This window comes from Homo sapiens, chromosome 11 (assembly GCF_000001405.40).
Source record: "Homo sapiens chromosome 11, GRCh38.p14 Primary Assembly".
Classification (NCBI taxonomy): Eukaryota; Metazoa; Chordata; class Mammalia; order Primates; family Hominidae; genus Homo; species Homo sapiens.
The window spans coordinates 101040518-101055238 of NC_000011.10; the positions used below are offsets into that span (position 1 = coordinate 101040518).

The 14721-nt window shown below is 35.2% G+C and overlaps 1 protein-coding gene across 8 annotated transcripts in view; it reads right to left on the minus strand.

Moving 5' to 3' along the window:
* The window catches only part of PGR (progesterone receptor), a 100190-nt gene that overhangs the window by 10894 nt on the left and 74575 nt on the right, over window positions 1-14721 (minus strand). For 4 of the 8 annotated variants that reach the window (NM_001271162.2, NM_000926.4, NM_001271161.2 and 1 more), the window contains 3 exons: window positions 10907-11051; window positions 9412-9542; window positions 1428-1585 (listed from right to left, as the gene is read on the minus strand). In NM_001271162.2, the coding sequence (NP_001258091.1) occupies window positions 1428-1585; window positions 9412-9542; window positions 10907-11051 (434 nt within the window). Of the gene's footprint in view, window positions 1-1427; window positions 1586-9411; window positions 9543-10906; window positions 11052-14721 lie in introns of those variants that run through there. The other 4 variants (NR_073142.3, NR_073141.3, NR_073143.3 and 1 more) reach the window with 3 other exon arrangements.

The window sequence follows — 14721 nt, forward strand, 5'->3', positions numbered from 1 at the left end:
GCTAGGTATGAAATTCTTTGAAGATTTTCTTTTCCATCAAATTCTGAAGGCACTGCTCCACTGTCTTCTGGCTTCCAGTGTTGCTGCAGAGAAGTCCAACATCATTCTGAATCCTGATAACGTCTATGTGACCTGTTTCTTTCATCACTGGTATACTTTAAAATATTCTCTTCATTTCTGGCCTGGTACAATTTTACAATAATGTACCTTAGTTCAATTGTGCAGTGCCTCTACACCGGACCCTTTTTGTTAGAAAACTTGTATGTTTCAGTTCCAGCAACTTTTGCGATTTCTTACACAAATTTCTCTCCTTGATTTTCTCTATTTTTTCTTCTGGACATTCCTATTAATTGGAGGCTAGAATCTCCTGAATACTAAATTTACTATAACTCTTCTTTCTAATTTTCCATGTTTTGATCTTTTATTTTTCCTCAGATTTTCCTTTCCATTTCAGCCCTTTCATTGAATTTTCAATTTCTGCCTTTCTTCATTTAATTATCCAAAAGTATTTTCTTGCTAAATGTCTGTTTTAAAAATGTTTTCTGTTCTCATGTCATGGATACCGTATCATTCTTATTTCTCTGAGGATGTTAGAAGTTTTCTTCTGTTCTCTGCACTGGTGTTTATTTCCTTCAAGTTTCTTTTTATTTTGCTTTCTGCCTTTCATTTTAGAGGCTTTACTCAAATAGCTCATAATCTTGGCTGTCTGTTCGTATTCAGGAGTAAGACCTCAAAAGTTGACCTGGAGAGTGGATAGCTTTTTTATGCCTTCACTGTCATTTTAATGTGATCTGAACATAGTAGCAATAAAAGCTTGTATTTCATATATCTTGACAAACCACAGATATCTTGTCTTAGTAATCCACCTCTGGTGTTGGGCATTTCTTGTTTGCTTTTCTTTTTTCCCCCTCTGCTATGGTGAACATCCTTGCATGTATATTACATTTGTCTAATTATTTCTTTAAGATAAATCCTAAAAAATAGAAACTTGAAAAGCATGCAAATTTTAACTTTTGCTATGTATTGCCTGATTGCCCACCCATCAGCAATGTTATTTATAATTCCACTGAAAATGGCATGAGTCTTATTTTTCACATACATACCTTTGTTTTTACTGTATATATAAAATCTTTTATAATTTTAGGCACAAATATTTTAGAACATATTCAGGAAATGTACCATAATTTCTATCAGCTATTAAATTACCCTCACATTATACAAATACTTGTAAAAGAATATTTGAGTGGTCTATATTGAAAATGAAAAAAAAACACAATAAAAAGTCTGAGCAGCATGATCCAAACACTTTTAACATACAAGTATTAATCTGAGAAAATCATACAAAGTAAAATTTACATGTAACATTTAAAAAGTTATAGAAATTCAGAGAATAATCATTGATATTCTGGAATCAACCAAATACTTACATCATGCAAGTTATCAAGAAGTTTTGTAAGTTGATAGAAACGCTGTGAGCTCGACACAACTCCTTTTTGCCTCAAACCAATTGCCTTGATGAGCTCTCTAATGTAGCTTGACCTCATCTCCTCAAACTGGGTTTGACTTCGTAGCCCTTCCAAAGGAACTGTTAAGAAGACAATTAAAAGTGGCAGTTGTGTATAAAAAGATGACATTAACAATTTATAACATATATTTCTGAGCTATATAATGATTTCTTCTGATACATGACTCTAGAAAAAAAACACCTTATATAGGAAAGAGATAGTGTTATTGATATCACTATCAATATCAGGACATATAAACTTCTAGTTCACTGGAAGAACATAAGAATTAATAGGTATATTAAAGAACACTTCAGCTGACCTATTTTAGACCTGTATCAATGGATTGTGCATTTAACTTAGCATTTGCTCAAAAGAGAACCTGGCCTTATTCTACATGCTTCTTAAATACTTGGTTTGACTTAGTTTACAGCTGCATGTAATCTGGATCTTTTTTTTCCCTTCTTTTTAATGAATACTTGGATCTCTTAGTAAACTTTTGTCTTCTTTATATAAATCTCAAGTATTTGCCATTAAGATTATTCCTAGATGATTTATCTTTTTGTTGTAATTTTAAAAATTGCTTCATTAAGTTTTCTAATGCCTTCCTGCTGATATGGGAGAAAGGTATTAATATTTAAATATTTATCTTATATCCAGCCACTTTGTTACACAGGCATATCTTGGAGATATAGCCGGTTTGGTTCCAGACCACGGCAATGAAGGAAATATTGCAACAAAGTGAATCACATGCATCTTTTTGTTTCCCAGTCCACGTAGAAGTTATATTTACACTATACTAGAATGTATTAAGTGTGCAACAGCATTATTTAAAAAGTGAACACACCTTAACTAAAAAACACTTTATTGCTAGAAAATGGTAACAATCATCTGAGTCTTCCCTGAGTCAAAATCTTTTTGCTGTTGGAGGGTGTTGTCTAAATGTTGATGGCTGCTGATTGGCCAGGGTGGTGGTTGCTGAAGGTTGGGGTGGCTATGACAGTTTCTCAAAATAAGGCAACAATGAAGTTTGCTGCATCAGTTGACTCTTTTGTGAATAATTTTTCTGTAGCATGCAATGCTAGCAGTTTGATGGCAATTTACCCACAATAGAACTTCTTTCATAATTGGAGTCAATCCTCTTAAGTCCTGCTGCTGCATTATCAACTAAGTTTATGTAATCTCCGAAATCCTTTGTTGTCACTTCAATAATCTTCATAGCATCTTCACTAGAAGTAGATTCCAACTCAAGAAACCACTTTCTTTGCTCATCCATAAGAAACAACTCCTCATCTTTCAAGTTTTACCACGAAACCTCTTCAATTCAGTCATGTCTTCAGGCTTTACTTCTAATTTTAGTTCTCTTGCTCTTTTCACATATCTGTAGTTATTTCCTCCACTGAAGTTTTGAACACCCTCAAAGTCATGCAAGAGGGATGAAATAAACTTCTTCCAAACTCTTGTTAATGTTGCTATTTTCACCTTCTCCCATGAATCACGAATGTTCTTAATGGCATCTAGAAAGGTGAATCCTTTCTAGAAGGTTTTCAATTTACTTTACCCAGATCCATCAGAGGAAACACTATCTATGGCAGCCACAGCTTTACAAAATATATTTCTTAAATAATAAGACATGAAAGTGGAAAATTACTCTTTGATCTATGAACTACAGAATGAATGTTGTGTTAGCAGAAATGAAAACATTAATCTCCTTGTATATATCCATAAGAGCTCTTGGCTGACTAGGTGCATTGTCAATGAGCAATAATATTTGAAAGTAGTATTCTTTTCTGAGCAGTAAGTCTCAATAGTGGGTCAAAATATTCAGTAAACCATGCCATAAATAGATGTGCTGTCATCCAGCTTTGTTGTTCCATTCATAAACCACAGGCAGAACAGATTGAGCGTAATTCTTAAAGGCCTTAGGATCTTCAGAATGATAAATGAGCATTAGCTTCAGCTTCAAGTCACCAGCTTCAGCTTCAAGTCACCAGCTTCATTAGCCCCTAACAAGAGAGTCAACCTGTCATTTGAAGCTTTGAAGACAGACATTGACTTGTTCTCTGTAGCTATGAAAGTCCTAGATGACATCTTCTTCCAGTGGAAAGCTGTTTTATCTACCCTGAAAACCTGTTTTTTAGCACAGCTACTTTCATAAGTAGCGATAATCTTACCTAGATCTTCTGGGTAACTTGCTGCAGCTTCTGCATCAGCACTTGCTGCTTCACCTTATACTTTGTTATGGAAATGGCTTCTTAAATCTCATGAACCAACTTCTGCTAGCTTCAAACTTTTTTCTGCTCCTTCCTTACATCTCTTTGCCTTCCTAGTATTGAGGAGAATCAGGGCCTTCCTCTGGATGAGGCTTAGGCTTAAGGGAATATTGTGGCTGGTTTGATCTTCTATTCAGACCACTAAAACTTTCTCCATATCAGCAATAAGGCGGTTTTGCTTATCATTCATGTGTTCACTGGAATGGCACTTTTAAAGTCCTTCAAGAACTCTTACTTTGTATTTGAAACTTGGCTAGTTGCTTGGCTCAGGAGACCTAGTTTTCAACCTATATCAACTTTTGACATGCCTTCCTAATTAAGCTTAATCATTTCTACCTCAGACTTGCAACTCTTTCTTTTACTGGAACACTGAGAGGCCATTCCAAGATTGTTAGTTGGCCTAATTGCTTTTTTTTTTTTTTTTTTTTTTTTGACACAGGGTCTTGCTCTGTCGCCCAGGCTGGAGTTCAGTGGCACAATCTCAGGTCACTGCAACCTCCGCCTCCCATGTTCAAGCAATTCTCCCGCCTCAGCCTCCTGAGTAGCTAGGATTACAAGTGTGTGCCATCATGTCCGACTAATTTTTGTCTTTTTGGTAGAGATGGGGTTTCACTATATTGGCCAGGCTGGTCTTGAACTCCTCACCTCAAGTGATTCGCCCACCTCAGCTTCCCAAAGTGCTGGAATTACGGGCTTGAGCCACCATGCCCAGCCTTGGCCTAATTCCAATATTGTTGTATCTCAGGGAACAGGGAGGAAAATTACTATTTCTTAAGCCTGTATTTATCCCCTGCACCCCAATCAAAACTTGGTTTCCATTTCCCCTAGAAAAGAAGGCCAGAGATACAAACTTATGAAAAACAAATAAGTTAATTCTTTGGTTTTGAGTTTTCAAGATCTTGTATATAAAGGAGACTCTGAAGAGTAATTCTGGCAATTCAGTATATCTATGCAAATTTTTGTCAATTGAAAACTTAACTCTAGTATGTACATCTATATGTATATCTAGAACCTCTTTTTATTAAATTTGTATAAATTTAATGACCATCTGTGCAGTTTTGTTACATGAATATATTGCATAGTGGTGAAATCTGAGCTTTTGGTATAACCATCACCCAATAATGCACATTGTATCCATTAGGTAATGTCTCACCCCCCTCCTACCTTTCCAGCCTTCTAAGGCACCACTGTCAATTATTCTATACTCTATGCCCATGTACATGCATTATTTAGCTCCCACTTATAAGCGAGAACATGTGGTATCTGACTTTGTCTCTGAATTGTTTCACTTAAGATAATGACTTCCTGTTCCATCCATGTTGCTGCAAAAGACACACTTTCATTCTTTTTGATTGCTGAATACTATTCCATTTTGTGTGTGTGTGTGTGTGTGTGTGTGTGTGTATGTATGTATATGTGTGAGTACATCACATTTTCTTTATCCTATTATCTGTTGATACACACTTGGATTGATTTCCTATCTTTGCTATAGTGAATACTGCTGTAATAAACAAGAGTGCAGGTGTCTTTTTGACATAATGATTTCTTTTCCTTTGGGTAGATATCCAGTGGTGGGATTGCTAGATAGAATGGTAGTTATATTTATAGTTTTTTGAGAAATCTCCATATGGTGTTCCATAGAGGCTGTACTAATTTTCTGGACTACTTCAAATAGCAGTCATTTCAAACTTTCACAGCTCTCTTTAAGGTTACCAACCAATCCCTATATTTCCCTCAGCTGTAAACATGAATGTAAAATCATTTTTTCTTAATTTTTCATAGTAAATCCCTTTACTAAGATTTTAGTGTAATTTATTTATTTTTATTTATTTATTTATTTATTTTTATTTTGAGACATGGTCTCACTCAATCACCCAGGCAGGAGTACAGTGGCACAATCATGGCTCACTGCAGCCTCGACTTCCTAGGTTGAGGTGATCCTCCCACCTCAGTTTCCCGGCTACCTGGGACTACAGGCACTTGCCACTACGCCTGGCTAATTTTTTTTTTTTTTTTTTTTTTTTTTTTTTTTTTTTTTTTTTTTAGAGACGGGGTTTTCCAAGTTGCCTAGGCTGGTCTCAAACTCCTGGGTTCAAGCCATCTGCCCAGCTTGCCCTCCCAAAGTGTGATTAGAAATGTGACCGACTACATCTGGCCTTTAGTGTAATTTTGGAGAGAACAATGTAAAAATGTTTGTTCAACCTACTGTCTATTCCTGGAGATTTATATTTTCATATTTAATGGCAAATGAGAGGTTTAAGTTCATAACTACCAAATTATCAAAGTTTTACTTTGCCAATCTTCTCCTTGCATTTATTTTATAAAAGGTATTTGAGATTGAAGATTATTTCTATTTCTTCTAGCTTGTTTTTTAATTATTTGAGTGTTTACATTTAACTCAATTATCTGTTATTCAAGGATATAATTTGAGCTACATATCCAAACAGTTTTTTTCCAAATATAAAACTATTTTTCTTAACATTTATTTGTTTCAGACTCATTGATTTGTGGTTTCCACTATACTATTTATATTCTAATATATACTTGTCTGATTTGCCCAAAAGTTCAGTATATCTCTTCTCCCATGCTGTATTAATTAACAGCAGCTTTCTAATTCCCTGCATATTTTTATAATGCTTATCTATTTATTCTTCTAGTTTTAAAGATGGATTTTCAGTAGGTTTGTCAAGTTCACCCTCTTCTCCCCAAATCTCATTAGAATCTTGATTAGAATTTGTGGAAAGCGTAAGTACTATTCATTAAATAGTTTCTTTTTCTTCCTTTTTGTGAAGTGGCAAATGGCTAAAAATCTTACTCTCTATGGTATGTGAGTGGAAGTTGTATGAATCTCACTTCCTTTTCTTACCACTGCTCTAGTGATCGCCTAAGTTTCTAAGTGACAACAATGAGCAAAGCCTCCCTGTTGATTAATTCCATTGTTGTTTAATTCCCCAGCATAATGTTGCCTATCCATAAATAGAGAATTATGTTAAGGATATAAGCCAGTTTGGAAGATCTAGGACTATCTGTGACATAAGTGCTATAGGATTCATTCCTTCATGCAAAGAAGGGCAGGAGCTAATTACTGTATTATTAAATGTATTCCAGTTGACTCTCTGGGCCGGTTCCACGTAAATATCCTTTGTTCAATTGATGCTCTGTCACCAAATTAGCCTTGAAATTCCTTGTCCAAATAGGGTTCCCAAGATGGTTATGTATTCATCCCTGTCTTTGCATAAATTCTATGAGGAAGCCTTCCATTTCAGGGTTTATCTCTCCTGCCCTTCCCTCCTGATCTGCACCCCCTAGCCATTTGAGATTTGGGACCTTAGAAAGAAGTCCCTGTAAAGATGTTGCCAAGAAAGACCTTAGGCTCACCCTCGGCCTGAGGTCTTAGCTCCCTGTGGTTGTCATAGAAATCACAATGAATCACAAAAGCATCAGTTTGTACATTTGAGGGCTGATCCTGCCTATGCAAGGGTCAAAGCAGCTGCTTTTTCTTTTTTTTAAAACTTTGCCCACCCAGACCCTTGGGGATCCACTGAGGCAGAGGTAAGTATGTTCCTTGGATATAAGAAAAAGTGGAACGGATATTTGCCTGTCCTTCTGGTGATCAATGCAATGCTTTATAAAACATAATTTCCTCTTTCTTCTGGGCCTATAGCTAGACTGTATTTCCCAGCTTTTCCTGCAGCTTAAGTGCCTTGGAATGTGGGTGAAAGTGATGTATGATAGTTTCAGATCTAGCCTTCAAAATCTCTCTCACTCAGTGCTCATTTCTAGTCATGTCCAATAGAGGTTTGCAAGCCACTAGGAAGGGGTGAAGCCACTGGCTAGAAGGAGCCTGGGTGTTTCTTGCTAACTCACTGGACTGTGTCAGTGATAAAGAAACCACTATTATATTAAGATGCTAATCTTTATAGTTACATGTTTTAACAATTTATCTTGATAAAAATAATTCTAAACAAAATTATGTATTTTATATAGTAAATACTTTGGGGATGGGGTGAGAGTGGTGGTAGAGGAGAGTATGGTTTGTGCTTATCCAATATTAATTGCAGTCGTGTATCACTTAATGATGGGGATATATTCTGAGAAATGTGTCCTTATGTGATTTCATCACTGTGTGATTATCACAGAGTGTACTCACACAAACCTAGATGGTATAGACTACTATACACCTAGGCCTTATTCCTAGGCTATGAACCTGTACAGCATGTGATTACTGAATACTGTAGGCAGCTGTAACACAATGGTAAGTGTTTTGTATCTAAACACAGAAGAGGCATAGTAAAAATCCAATATAAAAGATACGAATGGGACACTTGCATAGGGGACTTAACATGAATGGAACTTGCAGGACTGGAAGTTGCTCTGCGTGAGTCAGCGAGTGAGTGGTGACAGAATGTGAAGGCCTAGGACATTACTATACACTACGATAGCCTTTATAAACACTGTACACTTAGGCTACACTACATTTATAAAAATATTTTTATTTCTTTTATAATAAATTAGCTTTACCTTACCGTAACTTTTTTACTTTATAAACTCTAGTTTTTTAACTTTTTGACTCTTTTGTAATAACATTTAGTTAAAAACAAAAACACAAGGTACAGTTCTCTTTCTTTCTTTTTTTAGAGACAAGTTCTCACATGTTGCTTAGGCTGGACTTAAAACTCCTGGGCTCAAGTGATCCTCTCACCTCAGCCTCCCAAGTAGTGGGGACTACAGGCACATGCCACCGTGCCTGGCTTTCTTTCTCTATATCTTTATTCTATAAACTTTATCTATTTTTAAATATTTTCTTTTTTGCTTAAACTTTTTTTAAAAAAACTAATACCCAAAACACACATTAGCCTAGACCTACACAGAGTCAGAATCATCAATATCACTGTCATCCACCCCAACATCTTATCTCACTGGAAGGTCTTCAGGGGGCAGTAACACACACGGAGTTGTCATCTCCCAGGGTGACGTATGCCCTTTTCTGGAATCCCTCTGACAGACCTGCCTGAGGCTGTTTTGCGGTTAACTTAAAAAAAGTAGAAGTAGTGACTCTCAATAGAAAAGTATACTACAGTAAATACATAAACCAGTAAGAGTTTTTTATTATCTTTACCAAGTACTATGTACTGTACATAATTGTATGTGCTATACTTTATATGACTGGCAGCACAGTAGGTTTGTTTACATTAGTATCACCACGAACATGTGATTAGTGCATTGTGCTATGATGTTATGGTGGCTATAACAGGACTAGGCGATGATAATTTTTCAGCTCCACTATCATCTTAGGGAACCATTGTATATGTGGTCTGTTGTTGACCAAAATATTATTATGTGGCACATGACTGTAGTTTATATTACTGAATTAGGTGAATATGAAAGAGTAATTAAATCATTTTATCTAAAATAAAAAGAAATTGATGAGGCTATTTTAGTATTATATGGTAGGTAAAAGATGAAAAAATCCAGTAATTTTATTAATGTCTATAACAATATATTGGGTATTTCTTCTTTATACTTATAATCCAAGACGTCTACCTCATACATAACTATATAATCATATTGTTTGCAACTTTTCTAATGAATTAAGAAACTAGATATCTTGCATTAAGTTACTTGAACTCACTCACTTGTATTAAGAAGTAACAATACTTTCATACAGAGGAACTCTTCTTGGCTAACTTGAAGCTTGACAAACTCCTGTGGGATCTGCCACATGGTAAGGCATAATGAATAGAATGATGATTCTTTCATCCGCTGTCTTGCATCACACACAATACACAAAAGAAAAAGCAACAGGAAAAAAAATAGTGTCTCAGCCAGTTTAGGTAATTTATCAGGGAATATGGTTTTGGTAATTACCTTACATATTATTGAAAATGACTACTACTTTTAATAAACAAACCCAATATTTGGAATTTTAAACATCTTCTAAACTTTTCACAATACTGAATTTTTGAGGTTAAGAAATCTTAAAACTAGAAAATTATATTAAATACACAGTGACCAAGATTAACATTGTTTCTCACTTTTATTATCACACTTTAAATACCTAAACCAAGAAAACACAGCAGAGGTGTAGGAGTTGAGAATGTGAAGCTGAAGAATGCTCAGAAATGTTTTATTTACTTACAATTTATTTTCTATGAAAAATTATATAATTTTGTGTGCAATTAAATAGGAGAAGTCAGTTCACAAAGCTTACCATATTTTAAACTTTTCTAGGGAAATATACAATGATACAGAAAAGAGTAAAAGAGGACATTGGCAAGCATTAATTAATTGACAAAGTTAAACACAAGTGCTGAAGGCTGAGAAAATTTAATTAAGGCATTTTCCCAACCTTGTGTTGTTTTATAATGTCCACATTAGTCAAATGAAGCTAACAAGAATAATGAAAACTAGATTTTGGCTAAAAAGAGATAAGGAATCTCACTGTCATTCAAATTATTTGGCAGATTATATAATTCTCCTGAGACTCAGTTTTCTAAACTGTACAATGAAGAATGCTGATTCCTTACTTATCTCAAGGAATTGTTGGATAAAATGTAATGAAACATGAAAATTATCTAAAAACTGTAAAGACTTATATAAGTGTGAGTTATATACTTCTAAGTCAGCATTTACCACTAGAACAATATAAATATTACCATGAAAAGATTCTTATTCAGTTAAAGGTTGTAGGTAGAAAATTAATTAAAATTATTTAAATATAAAGCAAATTGAAATATTTATCTTTCAATTTTTTAAATAAATTAGCAGTCTAATTTGTCATGTATGAAGAAAGATGTTTTTACTTTTTGAATGTAAGTCAGTAACAAAAATATTTCTCATTTATTATTGTCATTAGTACCAAGCTATGAAATTTTAAATTGATTAATGAAACATTTAAGTTTATCTTTAAATATATTTCTTGATACATTCTTGATGTGTAAGAAAATTGGATTTGATATAACTATATTTTGAAACAAGAGGAAAAAGCTCCAAATATAAAATTACCGTAAAATGACAGTAATGTCATCATATCAAGAACACTAAATATGTGATCATCTATTGAAATATAACTTTCAAAATTATCCTACATGTACACTTAAAATAACAAAAACAACAAAAGTTACTACTTACTCATTTAGTATTAGATCAGGTGCAAAATACAGCATCTGCCCACTGACGTGTTTGTAGGATCTCCATCCTAGACCAAACACCATTAAGCTCATCCAAGAATACTGAATGAGAGTTATCTGGTCATCAATATGTAAGTTTCGAAAACCTACAAAACAAATTTAAAAATACAGTGACCATAAAAATGACTGAATTATCTCAAAAATGTTGAAAATACATATAAATCTGAAAATAGGTATGCGTAGGGTAATAAAATGTTTTCAATCCCAACATATTTTACACTGAAAATCAGAAAACATTAATAAATAATACAGCCTAAAATATCAGCAACTTTGGAAGTCACTTGAAATTAGTCACTGTGATTTAGCATTTCTGGGATTTTGCTAAGTGAATCCATCATCCATCACTCATTCATGCAACACCCATTTAATAAGAACCATTTGGGTGCCAGGCACTGTATAAAAATGAAGATGAGTAAGAGTCAATCCTAGCCTCAAAAGCAGCTCACAACTCAACAGGAGAAACAAGCACATGAGTGCTGGGGTAGAGAAGGTTAAAAGGGAGTGTATCAGTCAATCGGGAGGGAGGTCAGGAAAAACTTTCTAGAAAAAAAGAGAGATAATGCCTGAATGGAATATAATCAGTTCGTTAAATCTCAGTTCTTTGGGATTTAAACATAAACTGGTCTTACTTTGTAAAACCACTGCTTTCAGTTGTGTTATATCTAATTTTCTTTTAACAACCCTTAACTATGTCGGGTAGATTCCACAGTCATCAGGTCACTTTCGTTCTCTGAAACTTAATCCAGTCTTGTTTTAAACTTCCGTGTGGCTTAAGAGATTTAGAATCTGTGTGTGTGTGTGTGTGTGTGTGTGTGTGTGTGTGTGTGTGTGTGTGTGTATTGGGGGGTATGGTGTGAATGCTTTGGTCTTTCATCCTCTTTTAGGCTGTTCCATGGTGTTGGTGGCAGAAGGATGGCAGGGAAAGGGCAAATGAATCTTGACTTAATCATCACAAGTCTCTCCATGTCTTCCCAATTCTCAAGGGAAGATCACCAGTTCAACAATGAGTAACTTAAAGGTGGGAGAAGCAAAGATGTGTTTAGAGATGTAGGCTGGGTCAGATCATCCAAGGTCTTGCAAGTCTATTAAGGAGCAATGGGAGTGACATAGCCTTGCATTGTAGATGGATCATTCTTAGCTATGTGGTAGGTGGATTCAAGGGAATAAGTCTGGAGTTAGGGAGGACAGTTGGGAGATACTGTCAAAGCCCAGGTGAGAGATGATAAAAGCCTGAAGTAAGTCAAGTCAACACATTGGAATTAAGAGGAGAGAGTGCATCAGAAAAATATTTAAAGGGAAAAATAAAAGACATTTGTCAACTGATTGCCGGTAGATGGGAAGAAGAAGGAATCAAATACATCTTTCAGTATTTGTCTTGAAGGGTAGATGATGATAACAGCATTGCTGAGATAAAATAAAGGAGAAGAAACTTGCTAGGGAGAAAATAGTTTTGGATAGGATTCAGGGGTCAACATCCTGGTATCAGCTGCACATATGAATTAGAAGTATGGGGAGATATATGGGCTAAAAATATTAATATAAATTTGAAAGTTATTTGTATCTGAGTATAACTGAAATGATGAAAATGGAGAATTTTTAAAATTAAAGGTATGGAGACAATGTTTTGCTGAGAACATCAACCACTTTCTATAAAGCTGTTTTAAAAACATCTATTTTCTCTAAAAATCCACTGATGTTCTTACAAATAATCTGTTTCAAAAGTAAAACCAAAGCAAAACTTAATTCATTAGCTATCAAGAGCAAAAGAAAGTTATTTCCTGACAATGTTAATCATGTCAAGGTAGGTAGCAAAAAAGAAGGCTCTTCTCTTCATACACTTCAGATCGTCCCATCTTCATGTGAATAGTAGAAAAATTGCTACTCTCTTCTTAGAACTCCTTAGCCTCAATAAGACCAAAAACTCAAATGCATATTCATAATTAGAGATGCCATAGTGAGCATTTACCTTTTACTGAGAAGGGATGCTCTTCAATGTCTAACCTTTTCTCCTTCCCACCTTTCCTCCCTCCCCTTCTCCCTCCTTTCTTCCCTCCCCTTCTCCCTTTCTTCCCTCCCCTTCTCCCTTTCTTCCCTCCCCTTCTCCCTTTCTTCCCTCCCCTTCTCCCTCCTTTCTTCCCTCCCCTTCTTCCTCCTTTCTTCCCTCCCCTTTTCCCTCCTTTCTTTCTTCCCCTTCTCCCTCCTTTCTTCTCTCACTCCCTTCCTCCCTCCCTCCTTTCTTCCTTCCCTCTCTTTCTTCCTTTCCTCTTTTTCCTCCTCCTCCCTCACTGCTCCCTAATACCTTCCTGCTTTCCTTCTTTCCTTCCCTCCTTCCTTCCTCCCCTCCTTCCTTTCTCTGTGTGGGCAGAGTTCCCCATTGGTTGTAGTTTTTGCGAGAGCAAATGCCTTACCTTCCTACTTTCCCACGGAGAAAGCTGGGTAAACCTCCTCCTTCTTTGGGCTTGGGGCATAGGTTTGGCCCATGGAACATATACTAACAGGAATTTGAATCAGAAAATACTAAAGCAAAGAGAAAGATATGACTATTTATTCTTGATGTTGGTGGTGTCCAGATAATGAGAACCAATGGGAGGATTTGTGATGCTTGCTTTTTAGCCCTTCAGATGTGCCTTGGCTTCTGCCCATATTCTAAGCTTGTCCTCTAGCTTCTATTCAGTGAACCCCTGTTGTCCTCTCAGTAAATTATTTTTTTTCTTTTTCTTTTGTTTTTAAAAGTCAGGGTTTTTTGTTGTTGCTTGTGTGTTTTATAATTAACATAGTTTATTTTTAATACTGGCATCCAAGAATCCTGGTTTACTCAGGTGCAGAAAGACTCTCTAACTAAGCAGCCAAAAAAATTTTTGGTATGCAAGTTTTATCATTTTTTAATTTGCATATGACTTGAACGTGTCTTCAAGTATAGGTCTACATAATAACTTTTTAAGAAAATTATAAAGCTCAATACAATAAATCTAATACATAAATGCTGCTTGTAAGTCAAATATTTAAGAGACTATAAAAATGGGTAATTTTGTGATAAAATTTAGAATCATTTGACAAGAGATCAATGAATTGTCTTAATTTTTGAAAAGGAAGCCTTTCTAAAGGGAGGCACATATAAACCTCCCTATTGCTGATCTGTCTCAACAAATTGGAAGGCATTCAGGACAGAAGACCCAAGTTCCAGTCCTGGCTCTACCACTTACTAACAGCCACTTTGGAAACATCACTTATTATCATTGAATCTAAATTTCTTCATAAGTAAAAATCACAATTCACAATGATAACTAACTCAGTGAGTTGCTATGAGACAAATGGGATAATTATGCACACTGTAGAACACTATGGAGATATTTATTATTGGTCTATCAATGCAACAGAATTGCTCATTGGAGTAATACTAGTATGAAATCCACCAGTCAGTTTAATGGGAAGTCTCTAATACTAAAACACAATGCCATAAAAAAAAGTGTTAGGAGGCATTTTATATATTATAGAACATATAAGATAGAACTGAAGTATAAAAAATAATGGTGAAAAAATTTTAAAGATAAATTATGTGTTTGTTCTGGAATATATATTTTCCAGAATATATATTTTATGTGTGTTGTTATATATAACAAATTATATATTTCATATAATACAAAAAAATGGGCTGGGCGCAGTGGCTCACGCCTGTAATCCCAGCACTTTGGGAGGCCGAGGTGGGTGGATCACAAGGTCAAGAGATTGAGACCATCTTGGCCAGCATGGTAAAAC